General features: G+C 36.0%; 1 protein-coding gene across 53 annotated transcripts in view; it reads left to right on the forward strand.

Annotated features, from left to right (window-relative positions):
- The first annotated feature begins 2,576 nt into the window (after positions 1-2,576).
- RALYL (RALY RNA binding protein like) overlaps positions 2,577-25,756 on the forward strand; it is a 739,058-nt gene continuing 715,878 nt past the window's right edge. For 14 of the 53 annotated variants that reach the window (NM_001413311.1, NM_001413307.1, NM_001354320.2 and 11 more), the window contains exon 1: positions 3,064-4,214. Coding sequence is in view for 10 of the 53 variants with exons in the window: in NM_001413323.1 (NP_001400252.1) it covers positions 4,974-5,023 (50 nt within the window). In the remaining 43 variants the exon portion in view is untranslated. Of the gene's footprint in view, positions 2,798-3,063; positions 4,215-4,460; positions 5,024-25,756 lie in introns of those variants that run through there. The other 39 variants (NM_001413308.1, NM_001413314.1, NM_001100392.3 and 36 more) reach the window with 7 other exon arrangements.

Raw genomic sequence — 25,756 nt, forward strand, 5'->3', positions numbered from 1 at the left:
TATAACCTAATTTCTAAGTGTATATTTATATTTTATATATATATATATAGTTATGGTTCATATATCTTCAATATTTTCTTATGGAAACAAACATTGAGATTACATAGCATAAATTTTAAAATAGATTTTTTTCCTCAGTTACCATCATTTGTTTTATCTTACATTTAGTGTACTTTTCAATTATACCATGGCTTAGCTTGGAATGGACATGAACAGTTTACATGAAAACTTTGTTTTAAAAAGTCTCTGTAGTCAACTCCTGAAGACGTAACCACGATAACATGACCACATCTTTTGTACAGATTTTTCGTTAAGAAAAATTTAACCCCCTCACTTCTGCATTTCGTTTATTTTCTTCAGGTATTTTATAGAATCAAAAAGGTGAATATAAATATGTGTACTACAATGGTTATTTGTGGCAATAATAGGACTAAATTAATTCTCACAAATCTATTTTAGATCTACTGAATTTGAGCAAATCATGCCTTTGTTAATTGGCTTTGATGACATTACTGAAGAGTATTCAGTATCTTTGATGTATTTTTTGAATTTTTTTATTCTAGCTGTAAAACCAGATATAATTTTGGTTCAATCCTGTTTTTCCTGTGTACTAACAATAGAATCATGTGCAAATTACTCAAAATCTCTGACTTTATTTTTCTAATGGTTAAAATGAGTATAAAGTCAATGTCATGGAGCTGTTACAAAAATTAAATGAGTGGCTATACTTTCTAAATACCAGTTGCCTCAACCTGACTTTGTTTACTCTTGTTTATAATGCAGTGATACAACCCAAAAAGATGAAAATGGCACACTGGAAATAAACGATAGTGGAATATTTTGAGTACTCTAATGTAATTATATAAGTAAACGGGAAAAGTGCAGGGAGGATATTGATGTCTTGCTTTTCTTCAGCAGAGCTGCATTAACATAAAGGGGAGTCATTTTATTGAATAATAAAAGACTGACAATCACTGTGATTGGCTGACAGCCATTAGTGCAGTGTAATTCTAAATAGCTTGTTTTTCAAAGTTCTTCTTGAATAACTCTTCCCAGCCTGGTTGAAAGGTTCAAAACTCATTTTTAAAGTGAAGTTTTTCACATTTGAATACCACTGTGATATGAATGATGGAAAAAGATATGCATTAAAATATTTTCTTCTTAAATGTTTAGAATCAGATATATTTTCAAATGGAAGAGAAAATGTGGAAAATTTAACAAACTAAGTTTTAAATCCTAGATAAAATTAATTCAGGACTTGTGGAAGAAAAAGATCACGTGTAAAGAGATCTTACTTAATAAAATAAAATAAAATAAGTCCAACATGTTTTACAGCGAGAGCACAATATTTGATCTGTATTAGCCAGCTTAAAATTCTGTGATTTCCGAGTAGAACTCAAGGCTTCCAAAGTTATCAAATCCACTTTGATGTATTCATCTCTCTCTGTCAGTATTCCTAATCAACAGTCCTCCCTGGAAAGTATGTATAATAAGTGGGTGTACAGTTGGCAACTCACCAAAATAAATATTTAGTGATATTTTAATGGCTATTTTAAATCTCTTATTTAAATTGCGGATTAAAACTTTATTTGGCCAATGAATTCTGAGCACAATGTTTGAGGACCATATTTGCTACTGAAGCTCTGTGTGAAGGATGTGTACTTAATTTTCAGAATGTCGAGGTTAGATCATCTCTGATGGAGGCATTTTATATGAAACGTCAGCATTGGAAACATTGAGATAAAGATCGGGAGCAGGAATCTTTGAACTGCAGAATTGTGTTAATTGCTCATTCTCAAATATAGAGACGCCAATTAATTCCACACAACCTAGATTCAAAGCAGCACAGGGAAATGGTCCTGAGGTGAGTATTGTACAAAAATGAAGAAAAATAGATGTGTTCTAGCGTCCACAAAGCTGATTCTTCAACAGGCAGTAATAGAAGCCCAATGCACCCAGCGATTGGCTGATGGCATCTTTGTTCAGGCGATCGATGAGCGCCCTAACCCACACGCTGGGTGGAGAAATCCCTCTGCCACCCTCACCTTCAGAATCCACTGCTCAGCCACCTGGCTCCCGCGGGGTGCGCCACCGCCTCACTGCTGGTACACGTCTCCCCCTCTCGACCGCCAAGTGCTTGCTCCCTCCAGGCGAGCACTCACACAATGGACTCACTTGTTTCCCATGCCCCTCTCCTTTGACTTCCAGCCTCAGCGAACAACTTGAGCAAGAGTCAAACAGGAGTCTCTGCCATGGAGCATAGACCCTTGGAGCTTTCCAGACCAGCTCAGAAGCACGGGCGCACACACAGACAAAACAATGCCTTGTCCACGAATGAATAAAGGACACCCATGCCCCCACCCACCGCTCCGCAACCCGCAGAAAGAAACCCGGGACGGGGTTTCCTAAATAAGAGATTTTGTTGTGTCTTTCAAACTGCAAGCATTCCCCTTGAAGACGGCGAAAGAGAGGCTGTGCGTTCAGATGGCAATAAAGATTGACAGTGGCTTTGCCCGTGACAACGCCCCCAGCATCGCGCTGAGCCAGGTTCCCTGAGAACCGGGAGGGGGAAACGCAGATCTAGGGAGGAGGGAACAGCAGAGGCAAAGGCAGCTTGGGAGGGATGGGAAATGGAAAATCAGGGAAACAAACAAACAAACAAACAAAATGAATGAGTGAATGTGGGCTTGAATAGTAAAACTTCCAGAGAGAAGACGATGGGATCTCTCCCCAGGTAACTACCTGTAGATGAAAAATAGATGAAATACACAAGGAAGTGGCAAGCAACAACTTTGAGGTGAGCAGCAAGTTGTGCACCTCCTCTCAAGGCGCTGGATCAGCACCCCTGAGCTGCCCCCACAGCACACACTCCCAATGCGAGGCGGCGGCGGCAGCAACAGAGGCAGCAGCAGCAATCGCGGCAGCAGCGGCAGAGGCGGCGGCAGCTGCGCGCCTCGGGCCCAACCCCGCTCGGCTCCCCCTCTCGCCGGCGCCCTGCCTGTCTTGCGTGTGCGTGTGCGTGTGCTCAGCCTCAGCGTGAGGGGCACCTGCTCGTCTGGGCTCACAGCGAAGGCAGCCTCGCCGCGAGCTGCCGCTGCCGCTGCTGCCGCCACTGGTGTTGCCGCTCTCAGGCGCCAGGCTCCCCGTCGCCGCCGCCGCCGCCTCGCCAGCCAGAGTTGGGCTCCGTGGGCTTCCCCCCTCGCAGCCTCGGTCCTTCCCCGCTGCCTGCAAGTCAGCCTGGCTCCGAGTCACGTGTCAGTGCCTGAGGCAGAGACTGCGAGAAAAAAACGCGCTTCATTCCTTCTTCCACCGCCATACTGTATTTTATACTAAATCTCATTTTTATTCCAACATTTTACTCCCGCTCGGTGAGTACCTTCTCAGTGGCATTCTTGTCCTATTCTTTTTTTTGTCCTTTTTTTTGGTTTTTTGTTTTTTTTGTTTTTGTTTTTTTTCTTTTTTTCCACTTCTTTGATTATTGTTTATATTTGGGAAAGCTGGAGGAGCATGGTTTTGAGCCTTTTCCTGAATCCAAGTTTTTCTAGCATGCGATCGTTCTGTAGACAAGGCGCTGTGTCTCGGAGTCCGCGGCGACCGTGCCCGCTGGGAGCGTCTCCCAAGTCCAGCAAAATGTGCAACTGGTTTTATGGAAAAAGCGATGTGAAGTATGGTGCCTATTTTTTTCCTTTGTAAAAATAAAAAGCATGTTTCTAACTCTTTTTTTGCATACTCTTTTTCTGATAACATTTTTGTATAGGTGGGATTTTACGGCAGTGTTTACAAGTTTGTGGTCTTGCAATACTGGTGCAAACCACTGAGCAAAGACATTAATTTTATATTTTTTGTGCCCTTTTTGGAAGCCGGTGAAAACAAATTCGTTTTTTTTCCCTCCTGTTTTTGATACCCATTGATAACATGAAACTTTTCTTACAGCTGGTGATTGGGATCATTTTTAAGCAAAATACTTTTTTCCTCCTTTAAATTAACTATGACTTTTGCACATTTGACTTTTTTAAAAAACCGAGATAATTTTATGATAGATATCCTGATATCTATATCTATATTGTCCCTTATTTCTCCCCCTTCCCTCCCCGTAAATCAATTTTCAAATGATGGCAGTGGAAGGTTTTTCTGGAAAAAAAAAAATGAAGTGCGGTTTGGTTTCCTTGTCAACGGAGGATGAAGTGAACAGCTGAGCAGCTCGCAGAGAGCAGGTACTTGGTCCCCTTGGAGGCGTTTCCCGGGTGTGCAGTGGCAACACTGGTCCTAGCAAAGAAATGTGTGAGTGTGAGTGTGTGTGTGTGTCTGTGTTTGCGCGCGCGCATCTCCGGGCAGTGTCCGAGCCCGAGGTGGGGAGAGCGGCGCAGGGAGCCAGGGAAAACCAAAGTCCGTTCCCTGCTTCAGGATCGTTTTCTAGATGTGCGCAAAATACAGTCCCCTCCCCCCACCCCTCCCACGGTGAGCTGCGCCCAGGTCGTCTCCCGGCGGGGCGGGTGGCGTCTGCGCTGCGGGCCGCGCCGGCCGGGCACTAGGCGGCCGGCGGGCCCTGTAAGTTCTCCGAGGGCCACTTGCACAGCAGGAGGGGCGAGGGCCGTGTACGTGGCGCTGGCCGTCGGGCGGGCTAGAGGGGACCCTCAGAGCACCCGGGAGATGGGGGTAGAAGCGGCAGAGACCGCATATTCCGGAGGGGCTGGCTCCAGGCCACGCGAGCCGGAGCTGGAGACATTTCCAGAGCCTTGAGGATGGCACCGGCCCTCGCACGCTCAACTCCTGCTCCTCCTCTTCGCAATGAGTAAACGACGCAGTAGGTCCTACCCAGCCTATTTTGCTTTACCAAAGGGCTTTGCTTTCTTAGGGATGCTGTCTTTGGATCTTTTTTTTCCCTGTTGTGTTGCGTTGGTTTTAAGTGCCTGCTGGTGTCGTCTTCCAGGGGATGGGGAAATAGTTTCTTATAAGATGATCACTTGGGTTTAATGTTGAGGACGACGCTGTTAGTTTGCAGTAATGACCCTACACCTCTAAGGTATTAAAAAAATGCCTTTTATTTAAATTTTGTTAAAGGGGCAGAGTTTTCCCTCTTTTTAACCACCTGATACTGGCTCTAAAGGTTTTCCCCTGAGAACTGTGTACAGGGCAGGAGTGAGGGGTTGGTGATAGAGGTGATGATTTCGTGTGTTGGTAGCACTGACGTATTCAATGTTGAATGTATTCTATGATATTTTATGATTATCCTGTTACATGTTTTCAGTATAATTTAGCATTACTTTTCAGAGACGTACCAGTTGGCAATAAAAAGCCTTTTCTGTATTTAACACTGTGACCGAATCTGCTGGAAATTTTTCTGTCCAAATAAATTTCCTGAAGGCATACATCTTAAAATCTGGAGAGTCACCATTATTTAAATACTTTGATTTTGAAGCTTTGATTTTCTTACCTTTTCCCCCCTTAAATGAAAAGCTTAGCTTTAAATTACCATGTGTATATACTTTGAATTCTGTAAAATAAACATAAAGCAAATGAAACAACAACTTTTTACCTCTCAGATGAAGTTTTCTTCTAGGTAACTACAGAAATAAAAACTGACTGCAACATACAGAGGGGCCCATGACAAAGGGGTTTATAACATACACTGGCTTTTTCAAGCAAATATTTCACTGTCTGTAACCTCAGTTTGTGGAATGAAAGGTTTTACGCCTTAGTTTTTACTCTTTGTGGTCAAAAAGTAAGGCGTGCAATGGGCCATTTAACTGTAGAAGATTAAAAGTTAGTGTAATATCTGGAAAGTTGTATATATTTTTTATTCACAACTCATGCAAGTATCTCAAAAGTCTTTGGACATTTCATTGTATTTCCTGGCGGGGAAATACAATGTATGTGAGTTATTTTGTTCTCCGAGTAGCTTTTCTCTGTGAAGGAAATCCTGTTGCATTTATATAAAGAAGATAGTTTATGTCACTGTCTGTGGACACCATATTTGATATCTTGAGGTGTATAGTTCTAAGATTTGAAGCCAATATGATGGCACTAAGCCTGAAATTAGGATTTTCTTATTTTGTATAGTGAGCTAATTACTAAAATACAGTCTTTCATATGCCTCAAACAGCTAACATAAAACATTAAAAAAGCCACTTGCAACATTCTGTGATTTTAAAAATCATTTCAATTATAACAATGTATGTACATAGAAATGCTCATTTATTAAAATGCAAGACAATTTATGTGTATAATATATTTTTGTATGTTTTATGTATTGTAAGTCGTTTAGTTCTTTTAAGAGAGAGAGAGACAGAGCAAGCAAGCAAGAACTTGAATGATCGAACCTGCATTTTCATTAAGAGAATCAGTTGCTGCCCTAAGGTTGAGGTAGTATGTGGTTTAAGATTGGGCAAAGCACTAGCTGTACTGTGTGATATTTCCCAATGAGATTGAAACAATTAATGGGACCAAAGACGATTTTAATGTGAGGACAGAGAGGTAGTTGTGCTTTAATTTCTGTAACTTAAGATCATTCTAAGAACCTTTAGTTATCTATGTTTTCATTTATTTAAGATTCATTTTTAATTATATTGTAGACTTGTATTACATTTCTATCTATTACATTCAAATTTTTCAGATTTCTTCCTGTGTGAATCATTCTGGGAATTCTACAACTCTTAAACTGGCCACCTGTTTAGTTTTTGATTTAAAATTGTTGAAGGTAGTATCCTAGATTTAGCACCGCCTACTGGCTTCTCATGGAAAAAATGTATTTTTTCATTCGCCAAGCGACCCACAGGGATTTAGATCAATTTAATTGTGCAGATCTTTTCAACTGCTTACTAAGCGAGAAGGAGGGAAAAAAAAGTTTCTATTTTGTAATGAGAGAGGGTTTCCAAGGTAAAGGTGGGGACTGAGGGAAATAAGACCCACAAATTAAATTGGCATTGGATCACTATCTGACCTCAAACATTGTACTATCTAAACTGTGACAAAGAAATAATCACAAAATGAAAACCTGTTAAATTTTCAAGAACTTTTTATGGGATAATAAAATGTGGGTATTGTTTAAAATCTTGGATTACTAAATTAATTTTTCAATGTCTATCTCAGTCTTGATATAAAGAAAGAAAGTTCTAGTTGGAATTCTGTCTTGAGTGTGTGGTCTGTTGAAGAATATTTAAATGAATAACTTTTCATCATTGAAGATTAACAGTTAATTATTTTTCATATTTATTTTTTATGGTCATAATCAAGTAACACCCTGATTTTTTTCTTAACATGCATCAAATAGCCACACCGTGGTGGTGTATATACAAGGGGGAAAAGTTCCAAACATAAAATTATAAAGACACATCCTTAGCCATAATAGATGTGTTACCTTTCTTAAAAATGATAATTGGTTTATTTTCTCTAATTTATATGAAAGTCTAGTGGTTAAAAGAGCTACTATAATAATACAAATAAATGATGCCTTAAGAATATACAAATTGTTAATTAGAAAAATAATTTGATATGCTAAAATTTTCTTCCTAATTAAAAGAAATGTGAAATATTTGGATAGCTGTTCCTTAAATGCAATATTGACTTATTTTAAGAGCCAGTAGTAAGTATATAGAAATTCCAGTGAGAAGTATAGGTCTGTTGCGTTTTTGCAACTCTACCCCAGTAAAAGTGTGGTCATGTTTTGTTTACTGTTTACTGATAGTGTAAGCAACTAATTAAGCAGGGCATTCATTGATATAACTCTACATTTCAAGTCTTCAAAAAGCTCCATTATGGAAGTAGAAGAGAAGTGAAGTGGGTATGTAAGATTGTTTGAATAGTAAGGACGAATTTGAGAAAAATATTTCAATTACAATTGATTTTTCTCTCTGACTTTTGAAACTTTTATTTTTATTTTAGTTGTTTATTTTTATTTTTTCTTTCCAACTTTTAGTTTCAAGGGGTACATGTACAGTTTTGTTACATGGCTAAATTACATGTCACAGGGGTTTGCTGTACAGATAGTTTTATCGGCCATGAAATCTTTATTTTTAAATGATGATTAGCTGAGACTTTAAAAATAGTTATTTCTTTACTTCTTTTATCATACTGTCATTATGAAAACTCTGTGTTTTGCTATGAAAACCTGAAGTAATGATTAATTTTATTCTTCAAATTTTTATGGACTTCCAGAAAGTAAATAATAACATGTTTAAAAAGGTCCTTATTGATCTGCAGTTATTGTTATTATTCTCTTATTACTGTTACTATCTACTACTTCCAGTGACCTGTACGAATGCTTGTAAAGATGCCATTTCCATAATTCAGTTTGATTCTTTGATTTAATAAATTTCTCTTCAGTAATTGGCAGGCAACATAAACTTTCATTTTATTGGCAATAACAACAGTTTGTTTTGCTAAATCATGATTTTGAAAACAATATTCAATAACATGTAAGTAATATCTGATTTCTGAATGTATCAATAGCAAGTTACACTGTTAACAAGTTTACATAATTATACTTGTCATCACCCTTCCTTTTATTATTAAATTTTGATGTGCAGACTGCATAGATATAACACAGCTATTGCCAACTTTAGTAGTTTTGCTTATCCTCATTGCTTTTAGATTTTCAATAATACATTGGGAATTTTGTTTTCTTTTGTTAGACTTATGTTAAATATCAAACTTACCTTGTGGAAAATTAACTTTGTGTTTTTCTAAATTCTTCCTTACGTTTAAAAAGATTTTTGTTTGCTAGTTTTGAATTATCCTGCTATTTTTCTGGGACTGAGTCCTGGAAAATAGAGGCATTGGTTTAATGTCTTTTTCTATCCATTTGTAGCCACAGAGATGGCAGTTGGAGGACTTGAGTTAGTATTTAGGATTTACATTTTCTGGGCTGTCCTTGCAGACTCCTCAGCTGGGGGTCAAGACTCTAAGAGTTATTTATTTGACCATGTAAAAATCTAAATAGAGAGGAAAATTATGGAGTAGAACGTGGAAGTCTTGCACTGGTCTTCTGAAAGATACAATAGCATGCATCACTAAGTGCTCTTATATTACAAAATACTAGAGATTTTCTGTGCATAAATATGTTTGGCAAAATTCCATTTAACTCACTAATATGCTTTTTGCTTGAATTCTTTCCCAAACTTCAGAGTGGGAATTGATTGCATTCATACATAATCCATGTGTTTAGAGAAAATGTTTATACACATTTTGATAGCCATATGCTAAATAATAAGAGGAGCAACACATTTCTGAGTCATTTCGGAAATTATTAACAGGTGGGAGTAAGGAACGGCTATTTTTTCATTAAATCAAGATGAGAGGGAAAGAAATTGATGTGTCAAATGAATGCAATTCCATTTGTACTTCCCTTCCGTGATTAGATAATAGTATTATTTTATATGTTGGAGGAAACTGAGACTTGGAGCTCAGAGCTCCATAGGTGGTAAAGGGAAATTTGACATGTAGGAAGTCTTAACTGACGACTCATGTTTTTTTTTTTTTTCCTACACAGATATGCTTCATTTGTGGAGATGATTTTTTTGTTTCTTTTGTTTTTCCTAATATAAAACAACTGTTATGTATTTATTCTTGATACATTACTTAAGATGTCTGTAGTTTGGCAAGTTTTCAACAGGGAGTGCTTTCCACTAGTGAGTGCTTTGAGCAGAAACAAAAGAATATTGCCCCACACAGATACTCTTAACTGGTCCTGAAAGGACCTTTCTGTGACCATGTCATCACACATCTCTTCAAGACGGGTTTTCTGAAGAGAGCCAATGCATGGCATCACATTTGTGAGTTACCACTGTTGCTCTGTGGTTGGGTCAGAAGAGACGGTTCTCTGTCCTTAGTTGCTTTGCAGAGAGCCTGGGAAACACATTCAGCATTTACTTACTGAGTACAAAATGTAATCTCTACTCTTGGAGCTTTTGCAGTGTGATGTGGAAAATTAGTCTTTTGTGCAAGGAAAGCTGAACAGCTAATTCTTTCATAACACAGAGCTCTGTAAATATAGGTGTCTTGTCTGTCTACCAACATCTCACCATCAACATCATAACACCTCACAATTTTACTGTTACACATATTTGTATGTGACATTTATCAAGCTCATTTTATGTTAGTAACATAAAACACATATAAGTGTAACATATTATTTGAGGATTCTGTGTTTAATTGCCTCTTCAGATGTGCAAGAATGTCTTCCATCATTAGTTTCCTTGGAACTTGAAAAAGTGAATACTTTCAATGCAGAATGGGAAACATAAACTATAGTGGAAACAGTGTGAATGCACATGATGAGATGGATTTTTAAAGACTTGGTCATAAGTCCTCACGTTCATAAAATCAGTGGATTTAGAGGTCAAAGTATAGGGAGGGTTAAATGCTGCCTTTGAATTTTGGAATCTGGATATCTTGAAAACAGGTGGTATAAAACAAAACAAGAGAAAGTAGTATCTGTAGGAGAGCCTTATTTGGTTGGAGGTGGGAAAATGATTCAATTTTGAACATAGTAATTTGAAGTTCTGACATTAACTTCTGGATTAAATGACCAATGTGCAATGGAAATTCAGGTCTAGAGCTGGGAAGCACACTTAAGGCTAGAAGGAGATATGACAGTATCATCTACATTAAAACTCTTTAAGTGGGAATAAGTCCTGCACAGGTAGAAATTTGGGAACATCTGCTTTTTTTTTTGAGTGAATGTAAAAGGGGCTGATAAAGGGCAGAAAAATAGAGTTAGGATGATAGCCACTGAAGCTCAGAAAAAGTATGTGGGGTGTGTGTGTGTGTATGTAAGTATTGTTCAACAGAGCTAATGCTGCATAGGCTCAAAAGAAGATAAGACCTGAGATAAAAGCTTTGTAATCTGTCATTAAAATCCATGAATTTTTGAAATAAACTAAATGAATGTGATTGATGATCCTCAATATGATGTGGCAGCGTCATAAAGAGGGCTGTTGTTCCCAGGATTGTATGTGTCGTGTGTGTGTGTGATTGTGTGTGTGTGTGTGTGTGTGTGTGTGTGTACAGTGATAACATGATCTAAATAGGAAGACCAGTAGGAAGTTTTTCCTGAAACTAGCTAAATTGATTTGAAATTTATATTTATATGCAAAAATAGCAGAGAATATTCTGAGAAAGAAGAGAGGGCTAACCTGTTACATAATAAAATACACTATAAAGCTTTAAAAATAAATATATTTACTAGCTATGTCTACTGAAAAATCTTCAAAGCAATGTCTTTCAGGAAGCAATGAGCCCTTCTAGTGCACAAAGCATGGCTTCTTAATATCATTCCCCATTCAAGAGGACAAGAGCCCTTTAGTCTTCCTTAACCTAGAATTGGCTGATTCTAAGTCTGGGCAGAAAAAACACAAGATGAGCCTGGGACAACTCACTGCAGAAAGTAAGGAAATGGTCAAAGACAAATAAGGCTGTATCATTGTAAACAAGTGCTAGCTTGAAGGGCCTTCCAGTTGTGCAATTTAAATCAGTTTGAATTTCAAGAGTGAATATAACAAATTGTAAACGTTGAGTAAAGTAAAATCCATGAGTGCATAATGATACTCTAAATAAATATATAAAAAAGAAAAATGACAATTAATAATTAAATTGAGATAATTAAATGATTAGCCTGCCTTTCTTAGTTGATGAGGGACAGCTTTTTACAAAATAATGTGAATTAAGTGTAAGAAATGTAAGAATTAGAAAATTACTATTTGTAACTCTCAGTGAAGTAAGTGATTCAGTCAAAGATGATCAACAAGTGATAAAATAATCAATTAAAATTATTTTGATGAATAACATATTCTCATAGTGCTCAAGTATTAATTGCATCTGCAAGTCATCGTTTTAAGTGACTGAATGATTTAACCCAACATCACCAATAGACAACCTGACACTATGAGCCTCCTGACGAGATGCCATATAAAGGCTATAGTGCCATTTGTGAAATATTGTTGCTAGAATGTCTAACCTGAATCTAATAAAACCTGGTTAGATTTAACTTCCAGTTTATAGAAAAATTCAGAGAAAGGACCAGTTAAACTAAACCATGAGGAAATAATGAGACAAATGCATAAGGTGAGGTATTCCACATTGAAGATACATACCAGCCCTGTGGCCTAGACTTGTAAAATGTCAGTGCCACTGTGGGAGGACTTTTCCAGATTAAAAAGGACTAAAGACAAACAAATGCAGTGCTTGAAGATTTATTTTATTTCACTTTTTAAAAATGTGGTCTATAAAAAGTCAAATTTTGGTAGAATTGGGAAATTTTTCATATGGGCTAGAAAACAGATGATATTAGCAGATGAGTGCTGAATTATTTGGGATAAATGCAGTGATACATGAAACTGAATTTTCTTTTTTTTTTTCTTTCTTTTTTTGAGACAAAGTCTTGCTCTGTTGCCTAGGCTAGAGTGCAGTGACACGATTTCGGCTCACTGCAACCTCCGCTTACCATGTTCAAGCAATTCCCCTTCCTCAGCCTCCTGAATAGCTAAGATTACAGGCGTGTGCCAACATGCCCAGTTATTTTTTGTATATTTAGTAGAGACAGAGTTTCACCATGTTGACCAGGCTGGTCTTGAGCTCCTGACCTCGTGATCTGCCTGCCTTGGCCTCCCAAACTGCTGGAATCACCGTGCCCAGCCCGCAACTGAATTTCTTATGAGTCATCAAAGGAGTGAGGGAGGGAGTGTGTGTGTGTGTGTGTGTGGGGGGGGGGGTTGTGTACGTGTATATGTAAAATAATCATTTGTTAACCAACTTTAAATCAGGGAGTGCTTATGCTGGTTTTATTGTGTTATTCTTTCTAGTATTCCATCTATTTGAATTTTTTTTCGTAAGGAAAGTTGAATAGTCTATTAGTTGCCATTGAGAAAAAAATATGTTTATTGAGGCTAAATAGAAGCAGAAGTCCAATTGCCCATGTTTAAGGTCATCTGGGATCTTGAAGATATGGAGACAAAAAAAATGAAGTTTAATGTTAAATTGTGGGAATGAAATATTACTCATCGAAGTAATATTATTGAAGGAAGGATATTTTTAAAGCCACAGTAAGGAAAATATGAATGCATCTTTATGTTTTTCAGGATGGAATCCCCTTGCAGGAAGAGGTGGAGGTATAATAGAAAGGAAAATAATTTTTCAGGGTCAATTTCAGAATGTTCTAAGAAGGTTGGTGTGATTAGTAGTAGCGCAAGGAGATGCTGGTTACGTCTCAGAAGAGGAAGAGAATTGAATCAGTTCATTAGTTAAACTAAGTAACTCATTATTTATTTAACAGATATTTCTTGAGCATTTTCTTTGTAAGTACTGTGCTGGAGGATGAGGATTCTGTGGTAAATAAAACTGATAACAATGCTGACTGCAAAGAGTTTGCCATTTAATGGTGACTTCAGTCTTCTCAGATAATTGTAAATGAGGTCCTAGGTTGAAATTAACTGGTATGGAGATAGGAGCTAGGGGAGTGTAGTAGGGAATAAGCATGAAATATAGAAAGATTCTAGAGCTGTAATGAGGAACTTGGCAAAATTAGCATTTGTTGTCACTTTAGTCAACACAGTTACATCACTTCTCTAGGAACACTTAGCCTGTAATCTGAATGGGTTAAGGAAACAGTTGAGGATTACTTGGTTAGAGACTAGAAAGGCATCCACTTTGTGTAAAACAAAGTGAGGAGCTTTCCAGAGGTAGTGGATATGAAGATATAAATAAATCTGGGCTGAGAAAGAGAGCAAGGGCAGCTCTACGAGATGAACAGAATAAGAACTGGTAAGATTTGAAAGCCTGAAGAGCAGGATGAAAATGAATAGCAGACTCACTAATTTTAATAGAATGAGAGTAGTGCAAGGATGGATAGGTTTGGTCAGAAAAGACTATTGTATTTCTAGCGTTTGACAGTGGAACATCGTCAAATGGTGAATAAATTTTAGAGTATGGTAAAGCATGTGGCTAAGAAAGGAAGACACTGCTGATTTTGAGAAGTTAAGATATTGTGAGGTGAAGCTGAGTATTAAAAGTGTAATTTTGAAAACGTGATTTAAAAAACCTGTAACAGGATGACAAGTGAGGAGGTGGAAAGGAAAACTATAAATGTATCAAAAGTATCAGTGATATTTTTAGAGCTTTACAATCAACTAAGACCAAAACAGATTTTTTTTTTTCATTTGTGACTTCTAGGACTTTAGTCCTTTCTTTGGAACATTTTGAAGGAAGCTATAGATATGTAATGTGTTTGTGTATCTTGCTTACATTTGAAAAGAATTTTCAGTTACTACAGAAATAAATTCTGCAGTGGATACAGCAATGCAACCCTTTGTAAGGAAGTCTCTTTTCAAAACCAAGGAAATGAATATAGGATCCTATAATTAAGTATAACAGTGAATGATTCAGATTGAAAAGAAAGCTATGGAGTATTTGTTAATACATTTTTATTAACATCAGAAGTCCAGATAGCAGGTATATAGCTATATTTACTGCTAGTTCTGTTGCTGCTGCTCTGTTGAGATCTCATTCTATTTATGAATCAACATTCTGGACCAGACTGACTGAGAAATGCTTAGTCAGATAGAGCCTCATCTTTGCAACACTAGGAGAGTATATTACCATAGATAATAATATTTAGGAGAAAAGAGAGGATCAGACAGTTGACTTGTTAAATGTCTTCTTGCTATTAAATGGCTGAGTAAAGATCTGAACCCAGGAGTTTTTGGCTTCACAACTTGAATGTGGACTACTGTATTTTGTTCAACAGATGGAAAAAAGGAGATACTTTGATTGGTACAGCAATAGGTCAGCAACATTTGTCCAATAAAATAGACACGCTCACATAATTAATGCCCTCACAATAGCTCCCTCTGCACAGCATGTTAAAAACACACAATGCTTACATTTAGAACTGTAGTGCAATTGATTCTGATTCTAGCCCCTCTTTTCAGAGTCTTCCATAATGTCTCTTCTGTGGGCATAATGGGTGAGAATTTCAACAATTGTTTGTATATTTAGACAATATTTGTCGGGGATCTATTATATGTAAGTCACTGTATTTGGGTCAACATGGTGTGAAACCCCATCCATCTCTACTAAAAATACAAAAATTAGCTGGGTGTGGTGGCATGCGCCTGTAGTCCCAGCTACTCAGGAGGCTAAGGAAGGAGAATTGTTTGAACCTGGGAGGCAGAGGTTGCAGTGAGCCAAGATCGCACCATTGCACTCCAGCCCAGCGACAGAGCGAGACTCCATCTCAAAAAAATAAAAACATAAGTTTTTAAAAATCAGAAAACATTGGTCTTACCCTCCTGAATAGACAGTTTTCAGGAAAAGGAAATGCTTTATGTGAAAAGTGACAATGCATAAAGTTATGACTATTAAGAAAAGTAAAGATGATTGCTTGTAGTTCTTTGGGTTATTAAGGCACTTGAACAAACTAGCATGCAATTTCTTTCTCCCCTTTCTAGTGACTTGGTGAGTCCTCAGGTTGGGAGATTATGTATTACTCTCGTTCCATTGTATTCCAAAGCCAGGAATGTATGACAGTGTAGAGAAGAGGTGTGTAGACAAAAAAGTAAAGGGGGCCAAGTGAGAGGAACAACAGCAACAAAAAGATTTAGAGCAAATTGTCTGGAAAAAAAACTGGAAGATGAAAGTAAATGGTGAAATTTTGAGGAAAATAGGAGAGAGTCAGGGTAGAGGTACAATTAACATGAGTTTGCACCTTTGTATTTATCCTTATTTTATGCTTTAATATGAAGTCTATTGTTCAGGAGAGTGAAGTTTATCCTGGAATATATTGAGATTACTCAAAACTTCAAATAAACTTATTAGAAACTGTTAAGTACTATAAAATATATAAAATGAATTTAGAAAATATCTATGCTTTTAGATTTTTTACAATGGCTCTAATGATATAGCTTTATTGATAATTTAAAGTAGATTAGTGAACCAATAGTATGAAAATATTTTGTTTTATTCTGAACCCATTTCATCATGTATGCAATCTTTTTATTTCATAATTGCTGGATCTTTTTCCCTGTTCTAGTCCTCCCACTGGACAGTGGTACAACTTAAAAGAAAAAGGGAAGCGTGGAAGAGGGGAGAAAGGAAATGGAAGAGAAAGAAGGAGGTCAACAATAGCCATGAACAAGCTTTCTCTAGATCACTGTTCAAAAGAAACGATGCAAGTCATGCAAGCCAGCCACATATGTAACTGTAAATTTTCTAAAAGACATATTAAAAAAGTTAAAAAGTGAAACAGCTGAAATTAATTTTCATAAAGATTTTATGTAGCTCAGTGTATCAAAAATTATTTTAACATGTAACCAATATAAAATTACTTTTAAAATATTCTGTTTTTTGTGCTAAGTCTTTGATATCTAGTTTGTATTGTATACTTAACAGCACAGAACAGCCACATTTCAGGAGCTCACAGGCCAGTGGCTATCACATAGAACAGTGCAAATATAGAGTGTTCATAGAGGCTTCAGGGCTATGTCATGTTTTCAAACTCCTTTTGGCATTTGTTCCTTATCGGAGATTATCCAAGATAGATTTTTTAAATACTCTCTGATCATTTCAATTTCAGCTTTCACTTTTTATTAAATCCTAAATAGAAATCCATTGAAGTTCATATTTGCCAAAAAGTTATCCCAAAATATGGTCCCATTGACTAAGAAATATTAAATTTATCTTGATACTTATTGTTCTTCAGGAGCAAGATGGCCACTTTTACTAAATTTGCTCTTTCAGTCTACTCATTTGTTATTTGGCCCTGGAGGTAAGGAAATAATGCAATTGTCAGAAATTGGTAACATCTTCATAGGATAGGCTTCTATATTAGTGGTATTTGCCTAACACCTAATTTAATGAGAACTATCCATGGCCTTGCAGAGAATCACTCATTATTTTAAAAACAGAATGATATACTTAACATGTAAATTTGCTAACAGATTTAACACCAATTGAATACCAACTTAGTTTCAGAAGTTATTTGAAAACATAATAGAAAATCCTGTATCTAGTTATCTGTTTCCTGCATTTTCGAAGTCCATAAATGTGGAAAATCAAGAGGCTTATATACTGTGAAACCCCGCAATCTACACAGCCTCATTTTCTTCCCCACATTCTTTTCTTCTTATCAGACCAGTTTCTTCTGAGTCTCACATGTTTTCTAATATGGAGTTAAAGACATGTTTACCCATTTTTAGGTCCTGACTTTCATACAAAGAAGATAATCCTACAACTTCTAACCTTCCATTTTTACATCCTATTTACATTTTTGAGATGAATGGTGATAATAAAGATATTAACAACCACCAAAACAACCAACACTTATTTAGTATTTAGCATGTATCAGGTGTTGTCCTCCAAACCATTGCTTTATTTTTCTACTTCCCCTTGATCTCCATCCATTGAGCTCCAGAAGATGAGACTATCTAAGTATGAAACTTATTTTGGGGCCGGGCGCGGTGGCTCACGCCTGTAATCCGAGCTCTCAGGGAGGCAAGAGGCGGGAGGATAGCTTGAGCCCAGGAGTTCGAGACTGCCTGGGCAATATAGCGAGACCCCATTCTCCAGAAAAAGGAAAAAAAAAAAAAGACAAAAAAAATAAGCGAAACTTATTTTGGATTATTTATCAATACCTGAAATTTTATTTCACTCTTTTTTGTTTGTTTGTTTTCTTGTTTGATGCCTTCTTCTCCCATTAGGCGATAGCTTTATGACAATACAGTTTATCTTAATGATGATTTCCAGTACCTAGACAGTACCTGGCACACAGGAAGCACTCAATAAACCTTTTTGAATTAATTAATTAGTGAAGTAGTTCCTCACTGATGTTTTACTGCACTTGAACTCTTTTCTAGATATTTTCAATATCTATGTACACACTCTTTAGTAGGATGTAGGTAGAAACTGAAAAGAAAAGATTTTTGAGGAACTTTCACTACAATTCATGACAATTATCTCTAAAAATGTGAAAAGGAAAACATAATTTCTCCAGCATGAAGGAGAAAGGACGTAACTGCTAAGAGCATATGTGTACTGAAATGATAATTTGTCTTAACAGTTATTCTACATTTGTAGAGGGCTTTATCATTCAAACATATTCATATACATTTTAATTTTATTCTCACTGCTTCATTTCTGAATGTTGAAATTTATTTGTATTTATTTATTAATTTTTTATTTTGTGGGTACATGATAGGTGTATCTATTTATGAGGTCCATGAGATGTTTTGATACAGGCCGGCAATGCATAACAATCACATCATGGAAAATGTGATATCCATCCCCTCAAGCATTTACCCTTTGTGTTACAAACAATCCAATGATACCCTTTGGCATTATTTAAACATGTGCAATTAAATTATTATTGATTATAGTCACCTTGTTGTGCTATCAAATACTAGGTCTTATTCAGTCATTCCATTTTTTGTACCTATTAATCATCCCCACCTCCCTGCCACCCTTCCCAGCCTTTAGTAATCATGCTTCCACTCCCTATCTCCATGAGTTTGGGGACGTTTGGATCCCCAGAATAAGTAAGAATATGCAACATTGATCTTTCTGTGCCTATCTTACTTCGTTTAACATAATGGCCTCCAGTTCCATCCATGTTGTTGCAAATGACAGGAACTCATTCTTTTCTGTGTCTGAATAGTACTCCATTGTGAAGTAGATAGTATGTTTTCTTTATCCATTTATCTGTTGATGGACACTTTGGTTGCTTCCAAATCTTGGCTGTTGTGAACAGTGCTGCAACATAGGAGTGCAGCTATCTCTTTGATATACTAATCTTCTTTCTTTTGGGTATATACTCCAGAGTGGGATTTCGGGATTATGTGGTAGCTTTGTTTTTAGTTTTTTTGAGGAACCTCCAAACCGTTTTCCATAGTGGTTGTACTAATTTACATTCCCACCAACAGTATACAAGGGTTCCCTTTTCTCCATATCCTCGCCAACATTTGTTATTGCCTGGCTTTTGGATGTAAGTCATTTTACCTGGGATGAGATGATATCTCATTGTCTTTTCGATGTGCATTTCTCTGTGCATTACTCTGATGATCGGTGATGATCGGTGACCTTTTCATATGCCTGTTTTCTTCTTTTGAGAAATGTCTATTCAAATATTTTGTCCATTTTAAAAATCAGATTATTAGATTCCTTCCTATAGAGTTGTTTGAGCTCCTTATAAATTCTGGTTATTAATCTTTTGTCAGATGGGCAATTTGCAATTTTCTTCCAATCTATGAGTTGTCTCCTCACTTTGTTGATTGTTTCCTTTGCTATGCAGAAGCTTTTTAACTTGATGTGATCCCATTTGTCCATTTTTGCTTTAATTTGTTATGCTCGTAGGATATTACTCAATAATTTTTTGCCCAGACCAATGTCCTGGAGAGTTTCCCCAATACTTTGTTGTAGTAGTTTCATAGTTTGAGGTCTTAGATTTAAGCCTGTAATCCATATTCATTTGATTTTTGTATATGGCATGAGATGGTTGTCTAGTTTCATTCTTCTGCATATGGGTATCCAGTTTTCCCAGCACCATTTATTAAAGAAACTGTCTTTTCCCCAATGCATGTTCTTGGCACCTTTGTCGAAAATGCGTTCACTCTAGGTGTGTGAATTTATTTCTGAGTTCTCTATGCTGTTCCAAATGTTGAAATTTAATCTCAGAGGTGAAGTGACTCAGTCTGCTTACCTAGTAAATGTCATGGAAAGAACTTATCTCTGCCAATTGCATTGGAAGGTAATAGTGTAGCCTGGGAGTTCTGTAGATCCTCTAATTTAATTTTAGTCAGCTATTTGGAATAGTTTGAAAATCCCAGTACTTATTATGTAATTTTGGGTGCTTCTTATTACATTTATGATAAGCAATTCAAAATATTATATATTCTTATGATTCAACCTGAAACCAAAGTTTTCTGCTTTTACTCGTTTGAGCTTCTGTAACAGTATTAGTGTAGCATGAGATTCTAATGGTTATCATGAACAGTTAAACTGTTACCATTTACAAATACTTAATTATATTGATAAGAATTTTCGAAATACAGTACACTAAACAAAATAAATACATTGGATGCTGAGACTGATATAGGATAGCAGTGATGATCAGTGGACTCCAGATACAAAGCTTTGTGTTCATCAAAGCAAACGTCATTTCAGGTATTGATTAACTTTAAAATAGAGTTTCACAAATGTAAATTAAAAAGTAATTTTAAGATAGAAGTTACTACTTATATCTAATTTAGGATATTTTATATAGATTTTCATTAAAAGGAAGTGTCCTAAGACTAAATACATTTTAAAATCATTTCCTTCATGCAGTTTTTGCTAAGAATTTTAACTATTTGCAAATAAGAGTATCTTAAAATAATTTTAACTGTTAACTAAACCACAACAGTTTTGACATTTGTTGCTTGAAAAGTGTAGATACTTTTCTATCTATATTAATTAAAGCTTGAACAAATAGGATTAATATTTATTTAAAAGATGATCTTGGTGATGTATTTTAACAGTTTCTTGGGCTATTTTGCAAATAGTTTGTGAGTGTAAAATTAAAAGGCTTGAAAATGCATTCCTACTTTTAATGGGGGGATGGGATGACAATTGTGTTTTTAAGGTTGAATAATCACTGGTTTATGGCACTTAACTCTTTTACTAGTTCACAAACTATGAGTATATTGTTTACATTAATTTAAGCAATGCATTATGTTCACATTATTTCATGAATGTTTTAGTGTAGTTATCCAACAAATATTTCATGAAAATTCATTTTTTTATCCTTCTGTGTGTCACAAGGCATTATATAATGTATAAGAATGGAGCTTACAGTGCAGAAGGAGCTGATGGTGATAAATTTCACAAGTAAAAATAAAGTTCAGGGTTAAGATAGTATCTTATTCTCTATTAAATCAGAGGATTAACCTTCCTATGCATTTCCAGCTACAAAATGTGACCCATGATGAGGTGAGTGAAGTCAAATCAGCTTTTCAAGACTATATGTAAAATAACATGAATAGAAAGAAATACTTCAAATTTATAGAATGTTAATCTGTATAGTCTTTGAGGTTAAATTGATTTAGTATCTTTGACTAAAACTTATGAATCAGTGAGAATTTGATGGGGAAATATGAGCATGTAATTTCGATCCATCATCTATCTTTATTTGTTGGTTTAGAGCTAAGCATATGTCAGTATTCCCAGTATAGGTCTTTCAAGGTATGTCTCTGTATGTAAGGGTAATATAACCTTGTGAGTATGAGTATGAGTGTGAGTGTGTGTGGAGAAATCAATTGCTTATTAATAGCTTTAGGAAATGGTATTAGTTATTTAGTTGCCTAATTGGGGGAGTAGTTTTCATTCATTTTGCTTTTCTTTTTTTTTTTTCAAGACAGAGTCTCACTGTCATCCAGTCTGGAGTGCAGTGTGGCATGATCATGGCTCATTGTAATCTTGAACTCCTGAGCATAAGGGATCCTCTTGCTTTAGCCTCTCTAGTAGCTGGGGCTGCAGGTGTGTGCCACCATGACCAGCTGATTTTTTATCTTATTTTTTGTAGAGACAGAGTTTCACTATGTTGCTCAGGTTAGTCTCGAACTCCTGACCTCAAGCGATTCTCCCACCTCAGCCTCCCAAAGCACTGGTATAAAAAGTGTGAACCACTGTTCGCAGCTAGCATATTTATTTGATACTATGTCTCTTTGTCCCTAAAAGATAAATGATATGTATTACATTTAAGTAAATTATATTATGTCATAGATTTCCTTTTTTTATATCCAACCCTCACAACAGGTGTTAGGATTTTAATGGTTATACAGCATTCCATTGTAATAATGTACTTTGTCATGCCCCATTGTGAATATTTTAGTTGGTTCTTTTTTCACTTTCTTTTCATTGCTATTTTGAATAATGAGTATTTCCATACACTTTTTGTGGTTATTTTACTGTAATATTGCAGTTTTGTATGCACTTTTATTTTATATGAATTTATAGACTTAATTTATATTTTTGGTTTAAAAAAAAAAAATAAAGCCTAGCTCTTCACCTAGTCTTCATCTAAAGGACTTTACCTTCTTACCTAACACTGGTAGAGAAACTGGCTGGGTTAGATTTACTTAAAGATGATATAAAACATATAAAATCATGTATAAGTATTATATGATCTATTGAAGGGATTTTTTTTTTTTTTTTTTTTTTTTGAGACAAGTCTTGCTCTGTCGCCTAGGCTGGAGTGTAGCGGTGCAATCTTGGCTCACTGCAACCTCCGCCTCCCGGGTTCAAGCAATTCTCTGCCTCAGCCTCCCGAGTGGCTGGGATTACAGGTGCCCACCACCACGCCCAGCTAATTTTTTTGTATTTTTAGTAGAGACGGGGTTTCACTATCTTGGCCAGGCTGGTCTTGAATTCCTGACTTTGTGATCCACCCACCTTGGCCTCCCAAAGTGCTGGGATTACAGGCGTGAGCCACCGTGCCCAGCCCTGAAGGGATTTTTAGAAGTAATTTTTATGTATCTTTCATGGTGACTTTAGACTCTAACCACTAGGAATTATGCTACAAAATTGCATTTTGTACAGTATTTTCCTGGTGTAGGCATGACATTTTGAACATTTACTTTAAAAACTTGCTAAATGTATTTTTTCATTAAATTTAAAATACTATAATGATTTCTTAATATTTTCAGTACGTACATGTATATTAGCTTTTGAGTACAAATAGTAACACATTTTTAGTAATTTATCATTCATAGGTGAAAATTGCTTGAAACCCATAACATAAAAACAGAATTACACAGGAACGGAGTAGAGAGATCAGTCCCTCATGTAGTTGTAAATTATTTCTAGCCACACAACAAAAGAATGTTAGTTATTCGCAAAGGAAAAAGAATGGAAATGAGAACTGTGCTTATGACATTATCACTCAAGTGGTTTGGGTTTCTTACTTACCATAAGGAGAGTGTTTGATAATGTGGAGCCTTTCTAGGGAAAAGGAGATGTAAAGTACATTCTCCTTTTGAGTCCTGCAGAGTTGCCAGGATGACTAGTTTGTTGAAAAGAACCATTTGGTGTCCTTCCTTCTTTTCTTTCTTTCTTTTTTTTTTTTCTTCTCACTTGAGTGAATCACTATAGAATTCTGGAAAGTACAGGAAGAAAATGATAAATTTTCCCAGCAGATTTTTCTAAACTAATCTTAATGGAACTTTTCAAGTGCTTTTATTTAATTTACCCATGTGTTAAGTGGGGTGTTCTCCCATCATGTTGTTCATAGTGATAGTAAAAAGTGGTGCTGCTTAAAATATATTCTGTAGCCTGTTGGTTTCTGTTCTGAAACAAGAATTGAGATTTCCACAACAATTTTACAGAATAATTTCATGTTTCATTATATGTCTTTGTGTTTTCTCCCTCACTTTTCTAGTAATATATTTTCATTGTATTCTGTAAAATACTGGTTTGTGGTTGATTGGAAATGGAAAATGAGCTTCTCAAGTGCAATATAGATAGCTTGAGAAGTTCAGGTACAGAACACACACTGCATTTACACAGTTTTAGTTTTTCCTAGATTATATGCTTCTTAAAGATAGGTATTGTGAAATTCAGTCATTTATTTATTCTCATATTCTGGCATTCATTCAATAATGCTATTGACATAGTGTTAGTCACTGATGCCCTGGATGAAAAAAACATCATCCCATTCTCAATGGACTCAAAATATCCAGAGAGTATCTCACTATGATACTCTCTTATAGTGCTTATAGATTAAGTAAACATTCCTGGAATTGAATGTACTTCTTTAAATGTATGTGTGTGTGTGTATGTGTAATGTATATCATATATACTCAGTGTATAAGTTTTTTTGTTTTTTAAGCCCGTGGCATTCTGTGTAAATTGCCTAAATTTCAAAGTTAATCATCACATATAAATAATACTGAATTATTCCTATAGTTTAAGAATTCTGAATAAGAACACAGAAATATCATGTAGAGATTGATAGTCTCAGTAGTTTACCCAAAAGATCTGAATAAATATTGGAATGATCTTTTAACAGGTTGACTCTAGCTCAGAAAAAAAAAATGAGAGGAAGAGCACCACAAAAATATATCTTTTTATCATTGGATTAAAATATCTAGAAAAACACTGATAAATAAAATCTATAAATAATATTCTGCCGTTGTCTTAAAATTTAAAAAATGGGGAATAAGGTATTTTTTCTTTCTTACAAAGACTACACATATTTTGACCCAATCTGTTTCATGTTGAATGGAAACAAACTTGCATCATAACTGTGCATGTCATTACTGCCTGCTGGTTCTACCAGTATGCTTTTGCATATTCTTGATGAACAACAATATTACCTAAATCAAGTCACCCTGCTTTGTGTTCATCTGTTTGGTTTTTCTTGTTGTTGTTTCTACAAAAATGTTGTCTCACCATACTATGTTCCCCAAAGTACTGCTGTGATACTTTGCTCCTTTCTAATATTTGGTGAATTCCTAAATGTATCTACTTTGTGCATGCCATATGTTCAACTGCTGTCTCCAATTTCATTATAAAGCTTATGTATTTATATAATCATTCCAAAAATAATTCACTCTGAAGACATAATTTCAGTAAGCAGAGAGTGTTCAGCATTACTAAGTTAAATAATATATAACACTTATTTGAATTCTTACTGTGGGCTAGGCATACAAAGTATGTGTATTTTTTCTCAAACAGTCCTCAGAGCTTTATTGTTTTTATTCCTATTTTATAGATGATAAACTGGAGGCTCACTGGGCCTATGCTTCTTGCCCAGGATGACAGGGCTAGTAACTAGCAGAGCTAAAACTTAAGCCCAGGTCTGATTCTGAAATCTTCTAACTCTGACCCACTAGATTATTCTCATCTCATTTTATATGCTAGGTTAACTAGGATTTGATTATTTACAAATATGGCCCTTTCGTTTTATATACATTGTTATATTTTCTGCCTAATAAAACATATGTTGTTACTTCCAAATATCTTCAAAACCCATGGCCACAGGTACTGTTCTCGATATGCAATTACTGAATATTTACAAATGTGGCTCCAGTCAGCTAAAGAGAAAAATGTAATGATTTCCAGGGTCCACCCCTCTAATAGCTGTTGTCTTTAGTTTTTCAAGGTCAAATAAATGAATCGTGATGAGGAAGGCCACGTGTCTAGAAACCAACTGCATGAAACCCTTTTCTGTTCAGGATTTAAGCAGTGATCTATTTAAGTTTGAATTAGACAGGATTCCAAAAGGTATTATAACCTGAAAATATTACACAGCCCCCCTCTAACACATATACCACATATGCAAAGGGAAAGCCACTGTAGCTATTTTACTCGGAAGTTTTATCTTTTCAATATTCTTTGACTTCTAATGCAAGTATGTTACTTGAAGGAATAAATATAGTGTATATTTGGGTCTGAATATTAGCACTAGTTATCAATAAAGAGCACAAGTGGGAAATCCATGATGTCAAGTAATCTATCTTTGTAAATCTACCTTAACAACCTAGTCTGAGAAGGTGATAAAAGTAGCATCATAAATTCCCATCAGTTTAGCAAATAAATGCTGAACATTGTGTTAGTTTACTAGGGCTTCCATAACAAAGTAGCAGAGACTGGGTGGTTTAAACAGCAGAACCTTAACTTTCTCATAGTTCTGGAGGCTGGATGGCCAAGATCAAGGTGTTGCCAGGTTTGATTCTTCTGAGGCCTGTCTCCTTGGCTTGCAGATGGCCACATTTTTGTTGTGTCCTCACTTGGCCTT

This window comes from Homo sapiens, chromosome 8 (assembly GCF_000001405.40).
Source record: "Homo sapiens chromosome 8, GRCh38.p14 Primary Assembly".
NCBI lineage: Eukaryota > Metazoa > Chordata > Mammalia > Primates > Hominidae > Homo > Homo sapiens.